The 27,542-nt window shown below is 42.2% G+C and overlaps 1 protein-coding gene and 1 pseudogene across 7 annotated transcripts in view, besides 3 other annotated features; both read left to right on the top strand.

Annotated features, from left to right (window-relative positions):
* The window catches only part of SOS1 (SOS Ras/Rac guanine nucleotide exchange factor 1), a 143,320-nt gene that overhangs the window by 3,485 nt on the left and 112,293 nt on the right, over positions 1–27,542 (top strand). For 4 of the 7 annotated variants that reach the window (NM_001382395.1, NM_005633.4, XM_047445584.1 and 1 more), the window contains exon 1: positions 333–1,048. The exons of 2 other annotated variants lie outside the window; for them this stretch is intronic. In NM_001382395.1, the coding sequence (NP_001369324.1) occupies positions 962–1,048 (87 nt within the window). In that variant the 5' untranslated portion in view covers positions 333–961. Of the gene's footprint in view, positions 1–332; positions 1,294–27,542 lie in introns of those variants that run through there. One more of the 7 variants, XM_047445582.1, reaches the window with a different exon arrangement.
* Positions 464–1,183: a silencer, noted in NCBI's record as "silent region_11384". NCBI's record gives its function as "represses an Ori minimal core promoter by ATAC-STARR-seq in GM12878 lymphoblastoid cells {active_cell/tissue: GM12878}" and the evidence as "EXISTENCE:reporter gene assay evidence [ECO:0000049][PMID:35858748]".
* Positions 1,384–1,463: an enhancer, noted in NCBI's record as "active region_15612". NCBI's record gives its function as "activates an Ori minimal core promoter by ATAC-STARR-seq in GM12878 lymphoblastoid cells {active_cell/tissue: GM12878}" and the evidence as "EXISTENCE:reporter gene assay evidence [ECO:0000049][PMID:35858748]".
* Positions 10,819–11,318: an enhancer, noted in NCBI's record as "H3K4me1 hESC enhancer chr2:39337207-39337706 (GRCh37/hg19 assembly coordinates)". NCBI's record gives its function as "activates a minimal SCP1, AML or CMV promoter by ChIP-STARR-seq in naive H9 embryonic stem cells {active_cell/tissue: H9 hESC(naive)}" and the evidence as "EXISTENCE:reporter gene assay evidence [ECO:0000049][PMID:30033119]".
* On the top strand, positions 22,907–23,427 carry HSPE1P13 (heat shock protein family E (Hsp10) member 1 pseudogene 13; annotated as a pseudogene).

Raw genomic sequence — 27,542 nt, 5'->3', positions numbered from 1 at the left:
GTCCTTATCTTCGTGTTCAGGAACAAAGTACACACACCCCTTTCCGAAACGAAGGGCCCAGGGACTCCGAGAAGGGTGGGAGCCCTCACGGCCAGGCCACACAATGGGGAGCCTCTTTACCCTAGTCATCACCCACCCTTGCAGGCCCCACTTTGCCAGGGTGCGACTTCTCGGGCCCCTTCGCCCCTCCCCTGCAGCCCCCAGGAGCGCAGCCACAGCCCGGCCGGGCGCCCTCCCTGTCTCTCTCTCTCTTTCTCTCTCGAGCTTTCCTCCTCCTTCACCGGGAGCCGGAAAACCCGGAGCGAACCAGCCCAGCACGGCAGCGCATGCTCAGTAGCGAGCAGGTTCAGTTCGCTAGTAGGAAGCTCCAGCGCTACACCGGCGGCGGCGGTGGCGGCGGCGGCCGCGGCGGCACCTCAGGGCAGCCAGATTCCCCAACAACGACCTCCGGTCCTTCCCCTTCCCCGCGAGACCTCCGCCCCAGCTCCGCCCCGCCCGGGGCTCTTGCGTTTCGGAGTCCCAACTACGCGGAGCGGGCGCCGCGGCCGGAGCGTCCCTCCACACGTCCTCCCCCAGCCGCCAGCTCCGCCGCGGGGCCAGACCGGGCCCGGGAGTGCAGCCCCGGCGGGCGGGCGGCGGCCGCGGCAGAGGGCAGCCCGGGGCGGCGCCGGCGGGCCGGGGAGGGGCGGGGGGCCTGGCCCCGGGGCGGTGGTGCGGGATGCCGCCGCCTCCGGGCCGCGTCCGTTCTCCACGGCTGGTACCTGTGTCGGGTGGGTGGCCAGGCGCGGGCCTCGCCCCCCAGCCCCCTCGCCAGGGCTAGCCCGGCTGCGCGGCGCCCGGAGGGGGCCGGGCCGTCCGGTGGGGCCGCGGCCCTGTTCCGCGCTGCGAGCTCGCCCTCTCGCGGCTCCCTGGCCCGGCCGCCGCCGCCCCTCTCCCCGCCCAGAGGCGCCCCGGGGGCACCATGCAGGCGCAGCAGCTGCCCTACGAGTTTTTCAGCGAAGAGAACGCGCCCAAGTGGCGGGGACTACTGGTGCCTGCGCTGAAAAAGGTGAGGAGCACGCGGGACCCCGCTTCCCGGCCGCAGCCCCCCAGCGCGGGCGCTGGGGAAGGGCTGGGGAGGCGGGGCGCGCGCAGGGCCGTCTTTCTTCCCGGTCTCGCCGCGTCTCCAAAAGGACGGCGCACACGGAGAGGCCCCCCTCATACGGCTGGCTCTCGGTGTTGACATCCACCGGGTGTGTGGGAATGCCGCAGGGAGCCGGGGGGAGTTTATCCGGATAATCCAACCCCTGAGAGGTGAATGCTTTGCCCTTTGATTCCAGGACAACAACAGTTGGAGGAGCCTCAGTTTTCAGCGGAGGTCAAAGCAGGCCACTTTTCCGTCTTCTTGGTCTTAGCCCGGAGCTGCTGTCAGCCTACCGTTTTAGGTGTCCAGTACGCTGGTTTTAGTGGCTTGAGAATGCCCTGGCCGTAAGGCTTGCTCAAAGGAATTGCGAGCTCGCCTGCCAGTAGGAACGTGGCCTGCTCTGCTCGCCGTCAGTATTCACTCCTCATTCTCCTGGTTTCCCCCGCTCCTCCGATTAACAGGGGCTGGTGCACATGCTACCAATTTCAGGGGGGTTTTGTTTTGTTTTTGCAGCGTTCGAGATTCTTGGTGCTGTCATTTGGCTTGTTAAGAATTTTTAGCCTTTGTATGTTTAAGTTTGCTACATTGTTACCTGAAGTTACATACCCCCGATCTGTGCTTTTAAATGTTTTAGTATAATTAGGAAGTGTTCTTACGTTTTTAAAGCTTCTAAAGCAGCAGTGTGACAACCAGACTATTTTTGTTTTCTTTTCTTCATTTACCTTTTCTGTAAAGATTGCTTTACTCTTCTAATAGTGTTTCTAAATCCCAGTTTCTTGCTGCTCAAAGAATGTTTCATGCTAACTGCTTCTACTAAGAATGGAGATTATGTTTTACCTTTTATGCTAAACATTAAAAGGTGTCTGATATTTCTCAAAGGCCAGTAACTTTTACTTTCCCTTTTGCCCTGTTCTCCTCCGGTCCCTCTTGCTGTCTTACAGTGGAAACTATTTGGTTTTTCAGGAGAATTTGCTCATATATTTCTGGCTTAAATTACGGACATTTTCCCCTTCAAGTGTCTGACTAGTCACAAACATCTATGTAATTTTTTTTAAAAAACAGAAGAAAAGATGCCATATATCTTACATACTTTACTCCTTAGAAATCCCTTCAGGCTCTCACTCCTTACTTTTGCTTTACTTGCAAGTTTGACTTCTTAGCTTGTAATGGAAGGGGTGTAGGAGGTCTCTGTGATGCTAGAAGCTGGTGTCCGGATAGAGTAAGGGGAGACACGGAAATTGTTTAAAAACGTGTAAAGGAACTCATAAAGCATTGCCAAATAGGGGCCATTTTGCTTAGAGGCAAAAGCAGCTCCTTTCCCAGGGGAATCACCAAGGTATCAGCTGAGGATCCTTTGAAGCAGTGGAAAGAATATTGTAGGAGTTGACAGACGTTGTTTAATTCTGCCACACTGGTGGCCCTTGCTGAAATCTGTCCACAAAAGCATTTTGTTTGGCTGGCATAGTGTTGTTTTATTTTTAAATGTAATTAGTTGCTAATATTTGAAAATGGGAGATATTACATAAAACCTGAATTTTCGGCTTTTCTTGAAGAATAGGAAGGTCTTGTCATTTAGGGCCTGTATTCAAGCGAGGCACTAAACTGCTGGAGTTGAGTAAATGGCTCCCTTCTTTAGACAGGTCATGTATCTCCACCTTACCACAGCCCCCACTTGTCCTTTTTGCATATTTACATAAAACAGCTTTTGACTTTAAGTTAGAGATACTTTTGCAGTAGAAGTGATAGGAGGAGGTGGAAGTGTACATAATCTAGCTGATATGTAAGGTTCTTCCAATTCTTATTTAAATAGCCACTAACAATGATTCTAAACAAGATTGAAAATACAGTATGTTTCATATCTGGATATGCTGTTGGTAGCTCAAAACCTACGTTTTTACTTGCCTGCTGGACATTTCATGTGGATATCTCCATATCTTGATTTCTTCCTTTGATTTGTTATTGAATTATTCGTAGATACATCCGACTTGTGTTCTCTTACTCTTACCTGAGGCTCTTTGGATATGCTAGTCCCTTCATCCTTCTTTGCCTGGTCCAACACTACTCATCCTTCTAGACTCACTCAACCTGAACTGTCAAATCATCAGGGCTGAGTTGGATATTACTCCTTTGTTTTCTTTTTGCACCCTGTCCTAGCTCTGTGAATTTTAAGTTCCTATTTACTTGCCTATAACTAGATTGGATGCTCCTTGAGAACAGGGATGATATCTTACCCACATTTTATTCCCCATACTTATAGTGCTTGACATCTGGTAGGCACTCAATTTGAATAAATAGGTGAGGGGATATACAAACTAAAACTATCACTTCTCTCCTCCACCTGTCATTTCAGTTTTTCTTCTCGATTAATGGCTTTATTGTTACATTTGACTGGTTTAAAATGTTGGGGTCATCTCTGGCTTCTTTGTATTACTGTGCACACTCAGGTAGAGCCTGTATGTTCATTTCCCTTTGACATGTTCTTCTAGTCTATTCCTCCTCCGACTTCTCTAATTGAGTCTCCTTTGTCAGACTACTGTGATAACTTCTTAATGGGGTTCACTGGCCCCCACCTCACCTTCTGTTTTTCAAATCTCACCAGTTATAGGACACTTCTGAACATGTCACACTCAGAATTGTTGATGTCTTTTGAGTTCAACCTATGCTAAAGTGCACTTTTTAGCATAGAATTAACAGCAATTGATATTTGGCTTCATCCTGCTTTTCTGACTGGATTGTCTACCATAACCTTTTATCTCCTTTTTGCTTTAGCCAGTCCGGACTGCTACTTTTCCTGAATATGGCTGGAATGTCCCACTGTATCTGTTTCACCGCATCTATGAGTCTAAGTCCTATCTTATCTATTGCACAAATATATCATGCCTACTATAGACCAGGTATTGCCCTTGACACTCAGGCTAAAAAGGTAAATGACAGGGCCGGGCGCAGTGGCTCACGCCTGTAATCCAGCACTTTGGGAGAGCAAGGTGGGCGGATCACGAGGTCAGGAATTCAAGACCAGCCTGGCCAACGTGGTGAAACCCCATCTCTACTAAAAAATACAAAAATTAGCCTGGCGTGGTGGTGGGCACCTGTAATCCCAGCTACTCGGGAGGCTGAGGCAGGAGAATAGCTTGAAACCGGAAGACGGAGGTTGCAGTGGGGCGAGATTGCACCACTGCACTCCAACCTGGGCAACAAGAGCAAAACTCTGTCTCAAAAAAAAAAAAAAAAAGTAAATGACATAATCAGAAAAGACTAAATTAGAACATGATGGGAAGTGGCAGGGCATGTCTGGAGAGACAACTGGTTTATGAACAGTTTTTATATATGTTAAGCTAAGGAATTTAAATTTTTTCTTGGGTAATTAGAAGCCATTGATAAAGTTTCTTTTGTTTGTTTTTGTTTTGTTTGTTTGTTTTGAGACAGAGTCTTAACAGGCTGGAGTGCAGTGGTGCGATCTTGGCTCACTGCAGCCTCCACCTCCTGGGCTTAAGCTATCCTCCCACCTCAGCCTCCTGAGACTGTAGGCACACTGCCACATCCAGATAATTTTTGTATTTTTTGTAGAGATGGGGTTTCACCAGGCTGGTCTTGAACTCCTGGGCTCAAGCCATCTGCCTGCCTCAGCTTCCCAAAGTGCTAGGATTACAGGGTGAGCCACTGTGCCCAGCCAATAAGTTTTAAGTAGGGGAGTAACAGCACATTTTAATTTTAGAAAATTCACTTTGGCCATAGAATGGAAAATGGTTTGGAGAAGAATGAGACGTAAAGTGAGGAGAAAAGTTAGAAGCCTAGTTTAATAGTCCAGTCAAGAGATAATACACATTTGAACTAAGGGTGCATTTGAACAAGGATGGAAATATGGATGTGGATTTTATTTGAAAGAAGTTTACAAGGCAAAATTGACAGGATCTAGTAACTCACTGAGTGATTGGGGGAATGGTAATGGAACAGGAATAGTCTTGTTTCTGACTTGATTGTCTTTAGTCAGGATAGAGAATGTAGGAGAAGCTCTTAGGATGGAGAGAGGAGTGGCATAATAAGATGATTTTTGGAAATGTTGACTTAAAAGTTTGGGTTATTCAAGTGAACTTCTCCAACTGGCTATTGGTTGTTGGTATCTGATTAAGCAGATTTGGAACTTCTAGATGTGTAAGTAAAGCCATAAATATAGATGAAGCCTCTACAAAGACTTATACATGAATGTTCATGGCAGCTGTTTTCAGTCAAAAACTGGAAACAATCCAATGTTCGTCAGCAGGTGAATGAATAAGCAAATTGTGATACAAACAGTGGAATACTATTGGTTGTTGGTATCTGATGAAGCAGATTTGGAACTTCTAGATGTGTAAGTAAAGCCATAAATATAGATGAAGCTTATACAAAGACTTATACATGAATGTTCATGGCATCTCTTTTCAGTCAAAAACTGGAAAAAATCCAATGTTCGTCAACAGGTGAATGAATAAGCAAATTGTGATACAAACAGTGGAATACTACTCAGCAATAAAAAGGAACAAACTGGCTGGGTGTGGTGGCTCACACCTGTAATCCCAGCACTTTAGGAGGCCAAAGTGGGAGGATTACTTGAGCCCAAGAGTTCCAGGCCAGCCTAGGCAACATAATGAAACCCTGTCTCTACAAAAAACTTAAAAAATTAGCCAAAACATTTAAAAAAATTAGCCAGGTGTGGTGGCATGAGCCTGTAGTCCCAGCTGCTTGGGAGGCTGAGGTGGGAGCATTGCTTGAGTCTGAGAGGTCAAGGCTGCAGTGAGGTGTGATTGTGCTATTGCACTCCAGCCTGGGCAAAAAAATGAGACCCTGTCTCAAAAAAAAAAAAAAAAAAAAAAAAAAGAGAGAGAACAAATTTGATACAAATGACAACATGGCTGAATCTCAAAATAATTATACTCAATGAAAGAAGGGAAACCAAAAAAGAGTATATACTATATGAGTCTACTTATAGAACATTCTAGAAGGTGCAAACTAGTGCAGATCAGTGGTTGTTTAGGGAGAGGCTTTTTATGTTTACTTATCTTGATTGTGCTGATGGTTTCAGGGGTGTGTACATATCCTGAAATTTTTCAGATTGTATATTTTAAATATGTGCAGTTTATTGTATGTCAGTTGTACCTCAATGAAGGTATTTTAAAAAGTAGATGAGACCACACGCTGAAAATGATTTTAGTAAGACTGAAAAAGGGCTGGCATAAGAAGTGGGGGAAGGGAGTGGGAAATAGTGTATAGGGAGATAGCAGAGGAAAAGGAATGATGTAAGGAGACCGAGAAGCAAGGAGTCAGGCAGAAGGAATGAAACCCTAGTGTCTGAGAAGTTGAGAGAGGAATGCTTCAAGAAAAGAGTTGGCTGTGTGCGATGGCTCACACCTGTAATCCTAGCATGTTGGGAGGCCAAGGCAGGTGGATCACCTGTGGTCAGGAGTTTGAGACCAGCCTGGCCAACATAGTGAAACCCCTGTCTTTACTAAAAATACAAAAATTAGCCTGACGTGGTGGTGCACGCCTGTAATCCCAGCTACTCGGGAGGCTGAGACACAAGAATCCTGGGAGTTGGAGGCTTCAGTGAGCTGAGATCACACCACTGTACTCCAGCCTGGGTGACAGAGCTAGACTCTGTTTCAAAAAGAAACAAAAACAAATCAGCCGGGCCAGGTGGCTCACGCCTGTAATCCCAGCACTTTGAGAGGCTGAGGCGGGGGATCACCTGAGGTCAGGAGTTCGATACCAGCCTAACCAACATGGAGAAACCCCATCTCTACTAAAAATACAAAATTAGCTGGGCGTGGTGGCGCATGCCTGTAATCCTAGCTACTCAGGAGGCTGAGGCAGGAGAATTGCTTGAACCCAGGAGGCAGAGGTTATGGTGAGCTGAGATTGTGCCATTGCACTCCAGCTTGGGCAACAAGAGTGAAACTCCATCTCAGAAAAAAAGAAAAAAAAAAAAGAAAAGAACAAAAAGAAAAACAAAAAACAAAAAAAATTAGCCAGGCTTGGTGGCACGCACCTGTGGTCCTGGCTACTCAGGAGGCTGAGGTGGGAGGATTGCCTGAGCCTGGGATGTTGAGGCTGAGGTGAGCCATGATCGTGCCATTGCACTGCCGTCTGGGTGACAGGGTAAAACCCTGTCTCAGAAAAAGAAAGAAACAAAAATAGAAAGAAAAGAAAGAGTCATTGATCATACCAGGCTATAGAAAAGTCAAAGGGCCTGAAAAGTGTTAAGTTTGGCAGCTAAGGGGTCATTGGTCACTATGTCAGAGCAGTTTTATTGTGATAGTAGAAGATGGAAGAACATGGGAAAAGTAAGAATAGCAAGGGCTGCTGACCTTTTTGCTCAGATTATTTTTTTCTAGAAGCTTGGAAAGGAAGGGAAAAGAGATAGTGCTGAGGCAAAAAAGAGATTCAAGATTGGGTAAGACATTTTTGCTTCTTGCTTGGAGATGACAAAAACTTACTAAGAGCCTTTGAGGAAGGAGCTAATAGAGAATGCTGGTGAAGATTCAGGAACACAAAGCAATGGGATTTGCCTTGAACTGTTTGGGAGATAAGGTAAGCACTTCACCTGTGTTCTCATTTAATTCTCATAGGATACTATTACGGCTTCCTTTTTACAGGAGAGAAAATCAAGGTTTGGAAAGTTAAATTTGCCCATGTAATTTAGTTACAGAATCTTTATTTTTATTTTTAAAATTATTTTATTTATTTATTTTTGCACCATGGCCTCCCTCCCCCAACTCTAAAATCTGTATTTTTAAACACTATATTGCTGGGCATGGTGGCTCATGCTATTGACGCCAACACTTTGGGAGGCCAAGGCAGGAGGAGTTTGAGAACAGCCTAGGCCACATAGTGAGACCCTGTCTCTACAAGGGAAAAAAAAAAAAAAAAGAAGACAGGTATGGTGGTACATGCCTGTAGTCTCAGCTACTCAGGAGGCTGAAGTGGGAAGATTGCTTGAGCTCAGGTGTTTGAGGCTGCAGTGAGCTATGATTGGGCTACTGCACTCCAGCCTGGGTTACAGAGTGAGACTGTGTCTCTAAATACATTAATGAATAAAACACTAAGTGATGCTACCTCTGGCAGGGGTGATGACATCTTTTCTTATGAGATACAGGAGGGAAAGTGATAAAGATGGGTTTGTAGGTTGGGGAGCAGGGAGTTCATGCTAAATAATCACTTCTATTTTCTTTTCTTTTCTTTTTTTTTTTTGAGACAGAGTCTTGCTCTTGTCGCCCAGGCTGGAGTGCAGTGGTGTGATCTCCGCTCACTGTAGCCTCCACCTCCCAGGTTCCAGCAACTCTGCCTCAGCCTCCCCAGTAGCTGGGATTACAGGCGCACTCCATCACACGCAGCTAATCTTTTGTGTTTTAGTAGAGACAGGGTTTTACCATGTTGCCCAGGCTGGTCTTGAACTCCTGAGCTCAGGCAGTCTGCCCGCCTCGGCCTACCGAAGTGCTGAGATTACAGGCATGAGTCACTGCACCTGGCCAAATCACCTCCATTTTCATGATGAAATGAAAGGCAAATTTTTTTTACAGAGTGAAGAAAAGGAAAGTAGTAAGGACTTTAGAAGGAATAATGAAGTCTGGGAATTGCTGCTGTGGAGTGTAGAGGAGCCAACCAGTGCCTTAGAAAGGAATTGCAAGCCAGGTGCGGTGGCTCATGCCTGCAATTCCAGCACTTGGGAGCCTGAGGTGAGAGGATCACTTGAAACCAGGAGTTCAAGACCAGCCTGGGCAACATGGTGAAACACCGTCTCTACCAAAAAACAAAACAAAACAAAAGCCTGGCATGGTGGTACGCACCTGTAGTCCCAGCCACTTGGGAGACTGAGGTGGGAGGATCCCTTGAGCTCAGGAGGCTGATGCTGCAGTGAGCCATGGGAAAGAAAGAGCAAGAGAGAGAGGGAGAGAGAGGAATTGCTCAGCAGTGCTGAATGTGGAGACCATAAACTCAGAGTAGGGTTGATCTGGTGGTTGTGAGATTTTCCTCCAATAGCGCTTATCTGTTCAGGTAAGCCGGGAGAGAAGACAGTTGGTTGCAGGTAGCGGCAGTAGAGATTAAGAAGATAGGGATATTTCAAGTGATAGAGAGGAAGTAAGGGTATATAAGAGAAATAATGGATTGGAAGAAAAATTAGGGCTCCATGGATTCAAAATCTTGGTGAGTTAGAAGAGAAGGATAGTGGGAGTAGATAGGGGATGTGATTAGAGATGATGACAATTGTTATATTTTGGAGTTTTAAGATTCCAGAGATAGAGGCCAAGGAGGGCAGATCACTTGAGCTCAGGAGTTCAAGACCAGCCTGGCCAACATGGCAAAACCTCACTTCTACCAAAAATACAAAAATTATCTGGATGTGGTGGTGTGTGCCTGTAGTCCCAGCTGTTCGGGAGGCTGAGGTAGGAGAATCGCTTGAAACCTGGAGGTGGAGGTTGCAGTGAGCTAAGGTTGTGTCACTGCACTCCAGCCTGGGCAACAAGAGCGAAACTCCGTCTCAAAAAAAGAAAAAAAAAAAAAAAGGATTCCAGAGATGAAGCAGGTAAGACAATTAGGAGCTCTAAAGTTGATGTATTGGGTTGCATATGGGAATGATGATGAAGTCCACAGAGATTATGGAGTGTACTGTAGCAGAGAGGGAGACTGTATTCTAGGAGTGGCAGGAAGGTCCAGAAGTAACAGCAGTAAGGATGTTTTAAACAAATAATAGTAAAAGTGGCAACTACTTCTCACCTCCTCTGATGTAGTATTTATTACAGCTATAGACAAAATAGGAAGAAACTTTGTACTTCATTTTAGAATTTTGTCTTGTGATAAAGTTTTTACCCTAACATTTTGTCATGAAGATTTTTCAATACACAGAAAAGTCTAAAGAATTGTACAGTAAACACTCGTATACCCATCACCCAGATTTTATAATTAACATTTTATTACAATTTTATTATGTTTGCTCTATGGCATGCCTATCCATCCCTTCATCCTTGAATCCATCTTATTATTATTATTTTTTTTTGAGATGGAGTCTTGCTCTGTCTCCCAGGCTGGAGTGCAGTGGCACAATCTCGTCTCACTGTAACCTCCGCCTCCTGGGTTCAAGTGATTCTCCTGCCTCAGCCTCCCGATTAGCTGGGATTACAGGCATGTGCCACCACACCTGGATAATTTTTGTATTTTTATTACAGACAGGGTTTCGCCATGTTGGCCAGGCTGGTCTCAAACTCTTGACCTCAGGTGATCCACCTGCCTCGCCCTCCCAAAGTGGGATTACAGGCATGAGCCACCATGCCTGGCCCATTTTTGTATTTTTAATAGAGATGGGGTTTCTCCATGTTGGCCAGGCTGGTCTTGAATTCCTGACCTGAAGTGATCTACCCGCTTCAGCCTCCCAAAGTGCTGGGGTTATAGGTGTGAGCCTCTGTGCCCAGCCAGGAGTTTTTAATACTGATGGAGTCAAATATATGTTTTTTTCTTTTAAGGTTATTGCTCTCTTATATCTAAGAACCCTTTGCCGATATTTTCCTAATGTTGTCTTTTAAAAGCTTTATACTTGTAGCTTTCATAGACTCTGTGGTCCATTTCAAGTTAATTGTTGTGTTGTGATACAAGGTAGGAATTGAAATACATTTATTTTTAATGCTGATATCTAGTTATTTCAGAACTATCCGTTGAAGAAACCCTCTTCTTTTTTTTTTTTTTATTGCTCCTTGCAGAGCAGGGCTGTGCCATAGGCAGTATGCCTAGAGTAGTAGCCTGTTGAAGAGATTTTCTTTTCTCTATTGGATTGTGTTGATATTTTTATGAAAATTACATGATTCGTGTGTATGTATATATGCAGTCAGTCCTCTGCATCTGTGCATTCAAACAACTGTGGATCAAAAGTATCTGCGGGAGGAGGATGGGGGGAAATTGCATCTATACTAAATTTGTACAGATTTTTTTGGTCATTACTCCTTAAACAATACAGTACAACTATTTACATAGTATTAGTTATTATTAGTAATCTGGAGATGATTTAAGGTATGTGGGAGGATGTGCACAGGTTGTATGCAAATGCTACACCATTTCCTGTAGGATTACTGAGCATCTGCAGATTCTGGTATCTGAGGGAGGTCCTGGAACCAATCCCCCATGGATACCGAGGGATGACTATATACATACATGCACATACACACACACACACACACACACACACACACACACACACACGCACACACACACAACTGTATCTGTATCTCTGTCAGTTTATTTCTAGGCTCTCCATTCTCCATTTATCTAATTGTTGATTTCTCTACTTATAGTAAGTTTTGACGTTAGGTAGTGTAATACTCCAATTTTGTTCTTTTAAAAGCTATGTTTTAGTATTTCTAGATCTTTTTGAATGTTAATCTTTCATTGCTGTGTTAATGAACCATGGCAGATAGTATTTTATTGAGTTCCTGCTATGTGCCAGTATCCTAGGCAATATTGTGTACATGCTTATCTCTGTTGTACCCATTGACTTTTGAAAGTGGTAATGTCCCAGTTGTACAGCTGAGGAAATAGATTTTATGAGGACAAACTGCACAAGATGTTATGACTAGTAAGGAGTAGAATCAGGATTTGAACCTAAGTCAGAATAGCTTCAAAGACAACTCTTTATATTCCAGTGTGTTGCCTTTTTTGAGTAGGAAGTATAATGCAGTACGATGGTGCTCTAATTGTCCTGAACCTTAGCTTTTTAAGGAAGAAGTATCTCAGGAGAGGGGGAGGCTGAATGGACAGGGCTTTGAAATCCCCTACTTTAAGCTGAGGAGCTCAGCCCTTTTACATATTGGGGCTTTGCATAGAATTTCATTTGGAAAAAAAGGGTTCTGTTGCATTAAAAAAGGTAGAATTTTAAAAGATGCTGGTTAATGGAAAGATAGCACAGACCATAAAGGAACTGGCTGAGATTAATGGTCTTTAGGTGGCAATGAGAAGCTAGGAGACTGTCCTTGTATGCTTATGTTTGGAAGTGATGGAAGTGACATTTAATTTATTTTATTTCATTTTATTATTTTATTTTTTCGAGACAAGTTCTCGCTCTGTCATCCAGGCTGGAGTGCAGTAGTGCGATCATGGCTTACTGCAGCCCCAACTTCCTGGGGTCCAGCAATCCTCCCACCTTAGCCTTCTGAGTAGGTAGGACAGCAGACACATGCCACCACACCCAGCTAATTTTTGTATTTTTGGTAGAGACGGGGTTTCACCATGTTGCCTAGGCTGGTCTTGAACTCCTGAGCTCAAGCAGTTCACCTGCGTCAGTCTCCCAGTGTGCCGGGATTACATATGTGAGCCACTGCACCCAGCCCATATAATTTTTTTTTTTTTTAAAGACACCAGGTCTTACTCTGTCACCGAGGCTGGGGTGCAGTGGCATAATCATAGCTCACTGTAACCTTGAACCTCTAGGCTCAAGCAATTTTTGCACCTCAGCCTCCCAGGTAGCTAGGACTACAGGTGTGTACCACCACTCCTGGCTAATTTTTAAAAATTTTTTTTGTAGAGACAGGGTCTCACTGTGTTACTCAGGCTGGTTTCACACTCCTGGCCTCAAGTGATCCTCCTGCCTTGGCCTCCCAAAGCACTGGGATTACAGGAGTGAGCCACTGTGCCTGGCCAGAAGTGACTTTTTAAATGGAAGTGGGACCATAAATGGGTGAATGAATGAATGAATGAGTGAATGGAAATGAGAGTTAGCCAGTTAAGGATTAGGAGGAAATAAATTCCAAGGATTTGTGGTAGCTTGGAGGCCAAGAGGAACTCAGCATTTTTGGAGTTCTGAGTAGCTGAAGTCTGGAGTGGGGGCCAGATCGTGTGAATCAAATTATTGCATTTTATCTTGTCAGCAGTGGGGAGCAACTGCAGGGTTTTAAGCAGGGAACTGACACACATGAATTTTGAAGGACTGCTGTAGACTGTATGGAGCATGGATTAAATGGGAACTGAACTGTAGGCAGGAAAGCCAGTTGAGGAGATTTTGCAGTAGTTCATGGAAGGGATGATAGGTGGCTTTGATTAGAGCAGTAGCTGTGGGGATGGAGAAAAGTGGACAAATTAATTAGAGAGATTTAGAGGCAGATTGGTGATTGAATTGAGCAGGGCAGTGAGAGGATTCCCAGGTTTCTGACTGAGGTGTCTAAGTGGGGATGGTGATGAAAGGGGGAATATTGGGAGAGGATCACGTTTGGAGGGAGACTAAGGCACCATCAGTATTCTAGAGATTAGAGGGCTGTGAGAGAATTGTGATAGGAGGGATTTACTCTTTGGCAGATATCCAAGCGTGGAAGGCCTGTTTGATGGACTGTCCTTGATAATCACAGGCAGGTATAGCCTCAAGGCTTTGAGGATGGCTCTAAAGTACATTTCAAACACCACCTCCTCCACAAAGCCTTTCTACTACAACTCCATCCCCTGAGTAGAGTGAATCTCTTCATATTCTTAGTACCTACAGAATTTTGGAATAGTCATGTTTAGTATATTTTGTTTTAGCAAATAGGGAAGCAAATACTATATTTTAGAAATAGTTAATGTAAAATGGCTAGGTTTTTTTTTTTTTTTTTTCTTTTTAGTGTGATGCTTCAAGGGGAGCCTTTGTCATTGTATTAGTCCAGGACCTCTTAGAAGCAGATGCCAAGATGGGATTAAGCACATAAGAAATTTGTTAGGTGAAATGCTTGTGAGGGGGGAAAAGGAAGGAGACAGGGAGAGTTGTCAGACTGATGAAAGTCTGACTCCAAGTTAAAAGAGAGGTAAGGAAGGAAGGAACTTTGAGTGAAAGTGTCTTAGACTGTAGTGCAATACTAAGGAAAGTTTGCAAGGCCTCAGAAAGTCTTTGAGTGAAAGGTGCCTGTTGGAAAAATGATGTGTCTCCCGGGAACAGGCCTGCCATGCTCAGTCAGTGACTGGGAGGAGCTAGTGAGAAACTGGCCTCGACACAAACACAGTGATGGATTTGAGTGCAGCTGCTGCAGCACTCAGTCTATTATCCTTCCTGTAGTCAGAGATCTGAGAGGCTCGTTCTCATGATCAATTAGGGTCATCTCTGGCTATGAATTGCCTAATTCGGGATAAAGTACAGTTTTTCCCCATTTCAGGTGGGTAATTTGTTCCCAAAAAACCCCTGTATTTAAAAGAAAAAAAAAAGGATGCCTTAAGGTGAATTCTTAAAAGTCAGAAATTAATTTTCATTGAAATTAATGGTACACAATTTACTTCAGTAGCTAATCATATAAACTTTGCATTCATATTCAATGTTTATGTAATTAAATACTTAATATGCAAAACCACAAACAGAACAGTAAGACAAAAGAAAACAATTCAAGTAACACCCCAAATTTTTACTCTATGAACTGGTGAACCAGGAGTACTTGAGGCAAACCAGCAGTAAGTTCGTGAATAGTCCAACCATGTGGCCACGAAGATGACTCCTTGTTGGTTTTCCTTGCTAGTCTGGGCTACCTCACAGGCAGAAAGGCGCAAACCAGTGAATGAAATTCCTCAGAATGTCAAATTCTGGTAACTTCCTGTTGGAGTTGGGAGTGGAGATATACATGGGAAAATAAGTAATTTAAAGATTTGGTTTTATGGACCCTGAATTACTCAGATGTTTTGTTTTTTTTTTTGTTTTTTTTTTTGAGACGGAGTCTCGCTCTGTCGCCCAGGCTGGAGTGCAGTGGCGGGATCTCGGCTCACTGCAAGCTCCGCCTCCCGGGTTCACGCCATTCTCCTGCCTCAGCCTCCCAAGTAGCTGGGACGACAGGCGCCCGCCACTACGCCCGGCTAATTTTTTTGTATTTTTAGTAGAGACGGGGTTTCACCGTTTTAGCCGGGATGGTCTCGATCTCCTGACCTCGTGATCCGCCCGCCTCGGCCTCCCAAAGTGCTGGGATTACAGGCGTGAGCCACCGCGCCCGGCCACTCAGATGTTATTTAAGAAAGTTTTTTTTTTAAAACTGTAACAGGAAGATTACTTGAGGAACCTTTAATGCTACTTTAATGCTTCATGCTGATTTGTGTGTGTGTGTGTGTGTGTGTGTGTGTACAGTAGCACAGTCTCAGCTCACTGCAGCCTCCACCTTCTAGGCTCAAGTGAACCTCCCACATCAGCCTCCGAAGTAGCTGGGACCACAGGCACGTACCACCATGCGCGGCTAATTTTTTTGTATTTTTTGTTAGAGACAGGGTTTTACCATGTTGCCCAGGCTGGTCTCAAACTCTTGAGCTCAGGAGATTCACCCGCCTGGGCCTCCCAAATTGCTAGGATTACAGGTGTGAGCTATCACGCCTGGACTGATTTTTACTGTTTTGATTTTTCTTTTTCTTTTTGAGACAGAGTCTCACCCTGTCGCCCAGGCTGAAGTGCAATGGTGCGATCTCGGCTCACTGCAACCTCTGCACCCAGAGTTCTAGTGACTCTCCTACCTCAGCCTCCCCAGTAGCTGGGATTACAGGTGCCTGCCACTACACCCAGCTATTTTTTTTTGTATTTTTAGTAGAGACAGGGTTTCGCATGTTGGCCAGGCAGGTCTTGAACTCCTGATTTCAGGTCATCTACCCACCTCGGCCTCCCAAAGTGCTAGGATTACAGTTGTGAGCCAGCAGGCCTGGCCACTGGTTTGATTTTATTTACCAAATTAGTTGAGCACTATTTGTATGGCAAGCATGGATATAAAATTTAAAAATAAAACATAATTGTTGCTTTTATGAAACTTATATGTGGTGTTCAAAAAAAATCTGTAATCTGTCCATATGAGTTAAGCAGCCCAACTGTAAATATGATCAATCCTAGTATGTAGAAAGTAGTTTGGCAGCCAGCCTTGGTGCCTCACAGCTGTAATCCCAGCACTTTAGGATGCTGTACCAGCTTGAGGCCAGGAGTTTGAGACAGCCTGGGCAACATGGTGAGACCCCATCTCTATTTAAAAAAAAAAAAAATAGTTCAGGATTTAAAAAAAAATGAAAAACAAGTCTTGACAGAATTTAAGTTGTTTTTAATTGATACAAACTTTTTGTAGTAAGCTAACTTAAATTTCAGTTGTTCTTTTTTAATGCCTGAAACAATTATTTTCTGTGTACGGCTCAGTAATTTGTAATGGAATGCACTTACTGATAATTAATTCATAGATGTTTTGTTTAAGAGCTTTGCTAGGGCTGATTTCTATAGAACATTTAATAACTTTTTCTTTGATTTTTTTTATTGTGGTGAAATATATTTATACAACATTAAATTTGCCATTTTAACCACTTGAAATGTACAATTGAAGGCCATTAATTACATTCACAATGTTGTGCAACGATTACTACCATCTATTCTTTCCCAATCCCTAGTAACTTCTAATCTACTTTCTGTCTCTACCAATTTACCTCTTCTAGATATTTAATGTAAGTGGAATAATAAAATATTTGTATTTTTGTGTCTGACTACTTTCATTTAGTATAATATTTTCAAGGTTCATCTGTGTTGCAGTATGTACCAGAATTTCATTCCTTTTTAATGCTCAGTAATACTCTATTCAGGTGGACATTTTGCACCTTTTGGCTAAACTGGATACTGCAGTGAACATTGGCATACAATTATTGGTTTAAGTCCCTATTTGCAATTCATCTGGGTATGTTCCTTGGAATGGAATTGCTGGGTTGTTTTTGTAATTCGCTGTGGTTAGCTTCTTCAGGAACTGCCATATTGTTTTTCACAGAACCTGCAATATTTTACATTCCTACCAGCAATGTACACATGTCAATTTCTCTACCTCCTTGCCCACACTTGCTATTTTCTTTCTTTTCTTATCCCATCTTAGTTGGTGTCCTTTTGGTTTGTATTTCTCTAACCAGTAATGATATTAAGCATCTTTTCATGTGCTTATTGGCCATTTGTATGTCTTTATAGAAATGTCTATTCAAATTCATTGCCCCTTTTTAAATTAGTTATTTATTTATTTATTTGAGATGAAGTCTTGCTGTTGTCCCCCAGGCTGGAGTGTGATGGTGTGATCTAGGCTCACTGCAACCTCTGCCTCCTGGGTTCAAGCAATTCTCCTGCCTCGGCCCCATGAGTAGCTGGGATTACAGGCACCTACCACCATGCCTGGCTAATTTTTAGGTTTTTAATAGAGACGGGGTTTCACCATGTTGGCCAGGCTGGTCTAGAACTCCTGACCTCAGGTGATCCACCCCCGCCTCGGCTTTCCAAAGTGCTGGGATTACAGGCGTGAGCCACTGCGCCTGGACCATTGCCCATTTTTTAATTTGGTTGTTTGTGTTTTTGATGTTGAGTTTTAGGAGATCCTTATTATATATTCTTGATATTAGACCTTTATCCAATATATGATTTGCAAATATTTTCTCTCATTTAAACCCAATCAAAAGTTTATCTTTTTAGTTTCTTGATAATGTCCTCTGATGAACGAAAGTTTTTAATTTTGACGAAGTCAGATTTATCTGTTTTTTCTTTCATTGTCTTGTGCTTTTTGTGTCAGATCTTAAGAATTCATTGCCAAATCCAAGGTCATGAGGATTTGCCCCTATGTTTTCTTCTAAGAGATTTATGGTTTTAGCTCTTATATTTAGGTCATTGATATATTTTCAGTTAATTTTTGTGTTTGGTATGAGTTAGGAGTCCAACGTCATTCTTTTGCTTGTGGAAATCCAGTTGTCCCAGCACCATTTGTTGAGCAGGGTCTTATTTCTCCATTGAATGGACTTGGCACAAATCAGTTGGTCATAGATGTATCAGTTTATTTTGGTATGCTCAGTTTTATGCTGTTGGTCTATATGTCTATGCTTTTTCAGTACCATATTATTTTGATTACTGTAGCATTGTAGTAAGTTCTGAAGTCAGAAAGTGTGAGTGTTCCAACTTTTTTTTTTCTTGATTGTTTTGGCTTTTCAGTGTCCCTTGCAGCTCTGTGAATTTGAGGGTCAGCATTTCCGTTTCTGCAAGAAAAGATTTTGGAATTTTGATAGAGATTGCATCGAATCTGTACATTGCTCTAGGTAGTATTGATGTCAACAATATTAAGTCTTCCTACTCAATAACTCAGAATGGCTTTTAATTTATTTTGGTTATTTTAAATTTTCTGCAGCAGCGTATTGTAGTTTTCAGGGTAAAACTCACCTCCTTGGTTAAATCTCTTTCTAGGTACTCTTTTAGATGTTATTGTTCTTTTCAATGTTAAATGGAATTGCATTCCTAATTTCTTTTTCAGATTATTCATTGCATATGCATAGAAACACAACTACTTAAATTTTTTTTTTAAGTTATTTATTTTTTTGAGACAGGGTCTCGCCCTGTCACCCAGACTGGAGTGCAGTGGCGTGATCACAGCTAACTGTAGCCTCAACTTCCTGGGCTCCAGCAATCTTCCCATCTCAGCCTCCTGAGTAGTTGGGACTACAGGTGCATGCCACCACACCACACATCACACTGGCTAATTTTTGTATTTTTGGTAAGACAGGGTTTTGCCTTGTTGGCCAGGATGGTCTTGAACTCCTCTGCTCAAGTGATCCACCAGCCTCAGCCTCCCAAAGTGCTGGGATTATGGGCGTGAGCTACCATGCCCGGCCGCACCAGTCTTTCTTTTCCAGAATCTATATAACCTGATCTTCTGGACTTCAAAATCCTTGTTGTTTCCCCTCACCTATAACCCTTTTAAAACGAAGCGGAATTCTTCTTTTTTTTTTTTTTTTTTTTTTTTTGAGATGGAGTCTTGCTCTGTTGCCCAGGCTGGAGTGCAGTAGTATGATCACGGCTCTCTACAGCCTTGGCCTCCTGGGTTTTAGTGATCCTCCTACCTCAACCTAGTCTAGCTGAGTAGCTAGGACTACAAGTGTGTACCACCACACCCACCTAATTTTTTTTCCCCTTTGGTAAAGATGAACTCTCATTATGTTGCCCACACTGGTCTTGAACTCGTAGGCTCAAGCTATCCTCCTGCCTTAGCCTCCCAAAGTGCTGGGTTTACAGGTATGAGCTACCACACCGGGACAAAGTGGCACTTTTTTTTTTTTTTTTTTTTTTTTTTGAGACAGAGTCTCGCACTGTCACCCGGGCTGGAATGCAATGGCATGATCTCAGCTCACTGCAACCTCTGCCTCCCAGGTTCAAGTGATTCTCCTGCCTCAGCCTCCCGAGTAGCTGGGATTATGGGGCCTGCCACCACGCCTGGCTAATTTTTGCATTTTTAGTAGAGATGGGGTTTCTCCATGTTGGTCAGGCTGGTCTCGAACTCCTGACCTAGTGATCCGCCCACCTCAGCCTCCCAAAGTGCTGGGATTACAGGCATGAGCCACTGAGCCTGGCCTAAAGTAGTACTTTTTAATTAAAAAAAGAATCAAAATGAAACTCAATACATAGGCAGGTCATAAAAAATGATTTTTTCTTTTGCTCAAGCAGTGAGTAGCATTAAGCTGTTCCCTCACCTTCACCTGGTGTTACCTGGAGTACATTTGGGAAGTCCTCAACTTTGAAAACCCTTTTTCCCTATATACTGCTGGTAATTAAAAGCAAAAAATTATTCTGAAGTTTGTCAAGCATTTTATGGAGGAGACATTGCTAGTTTGTTTTCTGTTTTTTTTTAAGTATATTTTAAACATTTCCTTATACTCCTAATATAAATGTTGCTTTGTCAGAAATTTCAACATTTGGAACAAAATTTTTATAGTTTCTAAATAAATATAATTCAAACCAGGTATAGTTAGGATGGGTGCCTATAATGCTGTCAGGATACATATAATGCTATGCATAAAGTTTATTTCTGTATCATCTAGTTGTTCAACAGTTGATCTAGGCATAATAATGAAACTACTTTTGCAGTTTGATATAGTTTGGATATTTGACCCCTCCAAATTTCATGTTGAAATTTGTCCACCTCCAATCTCACGTCTCAGTGTTAGACAGTGGGGGCCTGGTGGGAAGTGTTCGGGGTCATGGGGCAGGTCCCTCATGAATGGGTTGGTACCATCCTTGTCCCAGAGGTAATGTGTGAATTCCTGCTCTATTCGTTCATGTGAGAATTGGTTGTTCAGAAGAGTGTGACACACTTCCCCTCTCTCTTGCCATGTGACACATTTGCTCCCCCTTTGGCTCTGCCATGATTGGAAACCTCCTGAGGTCCTTACCAGAAGCAGATGCTAGCGGCACGCTTCTTGTACAGCCTGCAGAACTGTTAGCCAAGTAAAACTCTTTACTTTATAAATTACCCAGCCTCAGGTATTTCTTTATAGCAATGCAAATAGACTAAAAGACAGTTAAACACATTTTTGTTTTTGTTTTTCTCCATGTCTCCTTGCTGTATTTTATTATTTTTTTGAGACAAGGTCTCACTCTGTTGCCCAAGCTGGAGTGCAGTGGTGCAGTCTCGGCTCACTGCAACCTCCCCCTCCTGGGCTTAAGTGATCCTCCCTCCTCAGCCTCTCAAGTAGCTAGGACTAAAGGTGTGTACCACCACACCCAGCTATTTTTCTTTAAATTTTTTGTAGAGACAGGGTCTCACTGTGTTGCCTAGGCTGGTCTTGAACTCTTAGTCTCAAGGAATCCTCCTGCCTTGGCTTCCCAAACTGCTTGGATCACAGGTATGAGTCACCACGCCTGGCCTGCTCTTTTGTTTCTATATGTTAGACTTTTTGCAGATTTCCATATATAAGCGATGTCATCAGTATTTTCTTTCAGTGTCTGGCTTATTTTACTGAGTGTAATGTCCTCTGGGTTTATTATCCGTGTAGTTGCAAATGGCAGTATCTCATTTTTTAAGGCTGAATGATATTCCATTGTGTGTATCTGTGTGTATCACAATTTCTTTTTTCATTCATCTGTCAGTTGACACATTGTTTCCATAACTTGGCTATTGTGACTAATACTGCAATGAACACAGTAGCACAGATATCTCTACCAGGTGCTGATTTCATTTCCTTTGAGTACATACCCAGCTAGGTCATATGGTAGTTCTATTTTTAAGTTTTTGAGGAACCTCCATTACTGTTTTCCATAATGGCTGTGCCAATTTATATTCCCATCCACAGTCTACAAGGGTTTCCTTTTCTCCACACCCTCACCAACACTTGTTATCTCTTACCAAAAGAGTCATTCTAACAGGTGTGAGATGATATCTCATTGTGGTTTTGATTTGCATTTCTCTGATGATTAATGATGTTGAGTACCTTTTCATATACCTGTTTGTCATTAGTATGTCTTCTTCAGAAAAAAACAGTCTTGGCCGGGCACAGTGGCTCATGCCTGTAATCCCAGCACTTTGGGAGGGCGAGGCAGGTGGATCACTTGAGGTCAGGAGTTTGAGACCAGCCTGGCCAAAATGGGGAAACCCCATCTCTACTAAAAATTAGCAGGGCCCGTAATCCCGGCTACTCCAGAGGCTGAGGCAGGAGCATCACTTGAACTGGGGAGGTGGAGGTTGCAGTGAGTCGAGATCGTGCCACTTCACTCCAGCCTGGGCACAGAGTGAGACTCTGTCTCCAAAACAATAAAAAAAGATATATGGTTTGTAAACATTTTCTCCCAGTCTGTAGGGTGCCTTTTGATTGTGTTGATTGTTTCCTTTGCTGTGCAGAAGCTTTTTAGTTTGATGTAGTCCAAGTTGTTTATTTTTGCTTTTGTTGCCTGGGCTTTTGGTATGCCATCCAAAAAAATATCAAGGAACTAGTATTAACCTATACAATTCAGTAGTTTTTAGTATATTTACAGAGCTGTGCAACTATTGCACAATCAATTATAAATCATTTTCATCACCTCAGAAAGAACTCCATACCCTTTAGCCATCATCCTCCAAACCTCCAGCCCCAGGTAACCATTAATCTATTTTCTGTCTTTATGGATTTGTCTGTTCTGGACATTTCATATAAATGGACTCATAATATGTAGTCTTTCATGACTGCCTTTTTTCACTTAGCAAAATGTTTTCAAGGTTCATCCATATTTTAGCATGTATCAGTACTTCATTTCTACGACTAAATAGTATTGTGTTGCATTGATGTATACTACATTTTGCTTATACATTCATCAATAGATGAACATTTGGGTTGTTTCTACCTATTGGCTATTAAGAATAGCTGCATATTTTCATTCCCACTAGCAGTGTGGAAGGCTTTCAGTTTCTATATTTTCACCAACACTTGTCTTTTTTATTCTAGCCATCTTAGTGGATATGAGGTGATATCTCATTGTGGTTTTCATTTGTATTACCCTAATAACTGATGATGAACATTTTTTCATGTGCATATTGAACATTTGTAGATCTTGTTTGAAGAAATATCTGTTCAGATCCTTTGCCCATTTTAAAATTGGGTTGTCTTTTTACTGTTGAGTTGTAAGAATATTTTTTTTTTGAGGTGTGGTCTCGCTTTGTTGCCCTGGCTGGAGTGCAGTGGCACAATCTTGGCTCACTGCAACCTCCACCTTCCGGGTTCAGGCAATTCTCCTGCCTCAGCCTCCTGAGTAGCTGGGACCACAGGCGCCTGCCACCACACCTGGGTAATTTTTTGTATTTTTAGTAGAGATGGGGTTTCACCGTATTAGACAGGATGGCCTTGATCTCCTAACTTCGTGATCTGCCTGCCTCGGCCTCCCAAAGTGCTGGGATTACAGGCGTGAGCCACCGCACCCGGCCAAATTTTTTATATATTCTGAATGTAAGTTCCTTATCAAATATATGAATCGCAAGTATTTTTTCCCATTATGTGAAGTGAAGTCTTCTTATAGATATAGTATTGTGATTAATAACAAATAGTTAATTTAGGAGAGTAGAGTACAAGCTGTAGCAGTGGGAGTTTTGTCAGCACACGCTTTTAGAAGGTTTCTTCCACTGTATGACCGTGTATTGATGAAAGGAATGTGCCTGAAACTGTAACCAAAGGAGACATGCTTCCAGAAAAATCTCAAGGAAAAGTATTGTAAGCAACAGTAGATGTTGGATCAGACTCTAAAGTAAAGGGTGGAGAGTTAACCAGTTAACATGTAAGTTGGAGATAGAGTTCTCCCAGAATATGTAGGCACCAAAGTAGTTCTAGACAACAAGGATTACTTCTCATTTAAAGATGGTGACATTCTTGCAAACTATATAGACTGAAATAAATCATATTGAAATGGCATCAACATGAAGCTGCCCATTCTGTAATTCTGAAATCTTCTATCATGTAAAATAATTTTCATGTCTTTCTTTTGTAATAAACTAATGATATCTAAACTAATGATGCCCAGTGTTTCTAAAATTTAGTTTTGCTGTATTGATATAAACATTTCCTAATAAAAATATGTAAATTTAAAAATAGTTAATTTAAAGCTTATATAGATTCCAAGAAATAATAATGTTCAGCACTTAAACTGTTTTAATCAAGGGTTAAGAATTAACTTCACTGGGCAAAGTGGCTCACACCTGTAATCCCAGCACTTTGGGAGGCCAAGGCACGTGGATTGCTTGAGCTCAGGAGTTCAAGACATGCCTGGGCAACATGGTGAAACTCCATCCCTACCAAAAATGCAAAAAATTAGCTGGGCATGATGGTGCATGCCTGTAATCCCAGCTACTGGGGAGGCTGGGATGGGAGAATCACTTGAGCCCAAGCCTGGGAGGCAGAGGTTGCAATGAGCTGAGATGGCGCTGCTGTACTCCAGCCTGGGTGACAGAGCGAGACCCCATCTCAATAAAAAAAAAAAAAGAAAAAAAAGAGGTCTTGTGCTTTAGATCAGTGGTTGCCAAACTTTATCAAGCATCAGAATCACTTGGACAGCTTGTTAAAACATTCTTTGCTAGCCTGCATTCCCAGAGTTTCTGAATCAGAAAGTCTTGAGTGGGGCATCCAGGAATTTACATTTTTAACAGAACATGTTGATGCTTTGGTTCATGGACCGCTTCCTTAATGGTCCCTATAACTGTCATAAAGAATTAGCTATATGCTGATATGTAGGAAATTCTACCTGATAAAAATGACAAAATTTTAATTTATAGCTCATATTTGCATCTCTTCAATTTGCATATATTTGTATATATAAAGTGTTATATAGTCATGGTTGGTGCCTAAATTGTTGGATTTCTTTTAAAACTCTTGCCATACATAAAGTCTACTTTTTTCCGTAGGCTTGTCTCCTGTCAGATCCTCATGAATTTCCTTGAGTTTAAGAAAATAGTAAAGAATGTTACAGCTTAAAGAGATTTTATAGATCATCCAACTCTTCCCATCCCTCATAGAGATTGGTTAAATCTCTTAATCCAAGATTGTGTAGCTAATTATTGGTAGGTATAGGTAGCTCTTAGGGATTTTATTTCTGGCAATTCTTTATATTGCTTGAAGAAAAGTAAATATGTATTTCAGCCAAGATTTTTTTTTTTTTTGAGATGGAGTCTCGCTCTGTTGCCCAGGCTGTAGTGCAGTGGCGCGATCTCGGCTCACTGCAAGCTCCACCTCCTGGGTTTACACCATTCTCCTGTCTCAGCCTCCCGAGTAGCTGGGACTACAGGCGCCCGCCACCACATCCGGCTAATTTTTTTGTATTTTTAGTAGAGACGGGGTTTCACCATGTTAGCCAAGATGGTCTCGATCTCCTGACCTCGTGATCCGCCTGCCTTGGCCTCCCAAAGTGCTGGGATTACAGGCGTGGACCACCGTGCCCGGCCAGCCAAGATATTTTTAGTGACTTTCAAATACAGATCTCTTTGGTAACATTTTATTAGGTAATAAATAAGCTTAAGATATTTGAAATGACTTGATTCTGTGCTAAATGCTATTTGATTATTTTACACCAAAGTAATACATGAATATAGCCTGATAAATAATTTTTAAAAAGTATGTCTCATAGGCATCTCTTTTATTCTGGTCTTAAAACATATGAGAAAGAAGATAGTTGAAGAGTATGTGCTAGTGAGATGGGGCACAGATTTCCATCAATAAACTTATGTAAAATTGAGTAGAATGAACAGGTTGTTTCCTAGAGATGTCTTAAACCTATTAGAAAGTTTAGAGGGAATGATGAGGAAGGGATATGTAATGTAAAAATATAAGGCTATCCTCTTCCTTCTTTTAAAAACTTTATCTCTAGCCAAGTCTGCTTAAGGAGAAAGTCTTGCTTTCCCCTGTCTAGGTTATAGCTTGTAGATGTTCATTTTAATACTTACTGAATTATTAAAATCTTTTTTTCCTTAGCCCTTCACCTTAGTAGTCAATCAAGGTTTGTTTTTCTAAATTAGATGATCTGTGTTGTTTCTTTTATAGGAGGAATTTGGGTAGCCAAATAGCTCCACATAAACATCTAGCTTCTCAGGTATCAACTGTAAAATGCATAGAAAATGCTATTAAACACTAAAAAGAGATTGAAAGCACCGTTGACTGACTTGTGAAATTATTTCCTAATTGCCTTTGGTCAGCACATACCTAGACTTCTACACACCCAACAGTCTATCTCAACCATTCTGTAATGTTGCTAAAATAATTTTCCTGCTTCATTGTTAAAACTCTAATGATTCCTCTCTGTCCTCTTTGCACATGGCTCTATCCTATATAAATTTCAGAATATGTGGAACTGAAATAATTTTTATCTCAGAAGCAAGTACTCCTATTAAGGCTTGGTGTGTTTTCATCATTTTAATTTTGACTAGAATAGAGAACTCATTAGAGTAGGAAACGCACTTCTGCCCCAGATTCAGGAGAATGAGGACTTATTTCAGTGTCTCAAACACAAACTTTCGAATGTAGCCTGCAGAACTCTGGTACTTATGAGCCACATTTTGCCTGGCTGTTAGTTCTCTTGATAACCTAGGAAATATGCCTTACCTTAGCTTTTCCTAACTGAATCTCTCTTCTCTGCACTAAGACTTTTCCCCTAGCTTAATCATAGTGTGTCTTCCTACAGGAAGCCTTTTCAGGTTGACCTGTACCCATCTACCAGTCCTCAAGTAGTTTCTCAAACTGGAGTCTCTAGATATTCTCAGGAGTCTGAGAATTCTCTGAGATATAAACAGTTTTGTGGTTCTCTGTGTAGATGCAAACACCATACATCTGGTGTCTACTGGAGGGTGGAGTTGAAAATGATCATTGTGAAACAATGCCAGAATCTTTCTGAAACTTTTGCAAGCAGCAAATTTGAACAGCTGGTTTGTAACTGAGGTTTTTAAACTTCATTCAGTCTAACTGTATGAAGTGCCTTACGTGGCTGTTATGGTAGCTGAGAGGAAGGATGAACTGGAGACTGAGGACACCACCCCCATTTTAACCTGGTTGGCCCTACTTTTATTTGTATTATATATTGTGGCTCAGTGAAGATTTCTCTTGGGAGCTTCTCTCCATCTAAAAGTTTTGAAAACCACTGGACTAACAGGTTTATGGCTTGTGGTTTTGGTAGGGGAATAGGGAAAAGTAGCAATGTATCCTTATAAAGAGGCTGTATGTGGCTAAGTTATTTGTAAATAGATTTTTCATAGTTAACCAAACAAAGAGTCCTTAGAAATTTTTACTGCTAATTGGGAATGTTATTCCAGGGTTATCTTAGATTGGTAGATAGTAGTTCTCAAGTTTTTCGGTCTCAGAACCCCCTCACAGTCTTTATTTATTTATTTATTTATTTATTTATTTGAGACCGAGTCTTGCTCTGTCGTCCAGGCTGGAGTGCAGTGGTACAGTCTCGGCTCACTGCAGCCTGCGCCTCCCAGCCTCCCGGGTTCAAGCAGTTCTCTGCCTCAGCCTCCTGAGTAGCTGGGATTACAGGCTCTCGCCACCACACCTGGCTAATTTTTGTATATTTAGTAGAGACGGGGTTTCACCATCTTGGTCAGGCTGGTCTTGAACTCCTGACCTCGTGATCCACCTGCCTCGGCCTCCCAAAGAGCTGGGATTACAGGCGTGAGCTACTGCACCCGGCCCCCTTCACACTCTTAAAAAATTATCGAGGCTCCCCAAAAGTACTGTTTGTATGCATTATACCCATCAATTTTTAAATAAAAGAAAAAATTTCAATAATTACTGATTTATTTAAAAATAATGAACCCATTACATTTTAACAACAGTAACATTTTTAATATTAAGATAACTGTTTTCCAAGAAAGAAAAAAGAAAAAGAGAAAACTGTTTTCCAAAACAAACAAAAAAAAAATTAGCAGAGAGTGGCATTGTTTAGTATTTTTTGCAAATCTCTTAATAGTACGATCTGGATTCTCATTTTCTGTTTCTACATTCAACCGGTTTGTGATATGCTGTTTTAGTTGAAATATATGAAGAAAAACTCAGCCTCCTACATTCAATATTTGAAGAGAGTTAAGGTATGTAACAGCTTTTTCAGATATTATCAATACTGTATTTTTCTTTAATGTCAAACCCCACAAGTGGTAGTTTCTTTTAGGTTAATTGCAACATGGAATCTGAAACTATAGCAATGAACTTTTGGTTC

This window comes from Homo sapiens, chromosome 2 (assembly GCF_000001405.40).
Source record: "Homo sapiens chromosome 2, GRCh38.p14 Primary Assembly".
NCBI classification, from domain to species: Eukaryota; Metazoa; Chordata; class Mammalia; order Primates; family Hominidae; genus Homo; species Homo sapiens.
The sequence above is the reverse complement of the archived record's forward strand: the minus strand, read 5'-3'. Positions and strand labels throughout refer to the sequence as shown.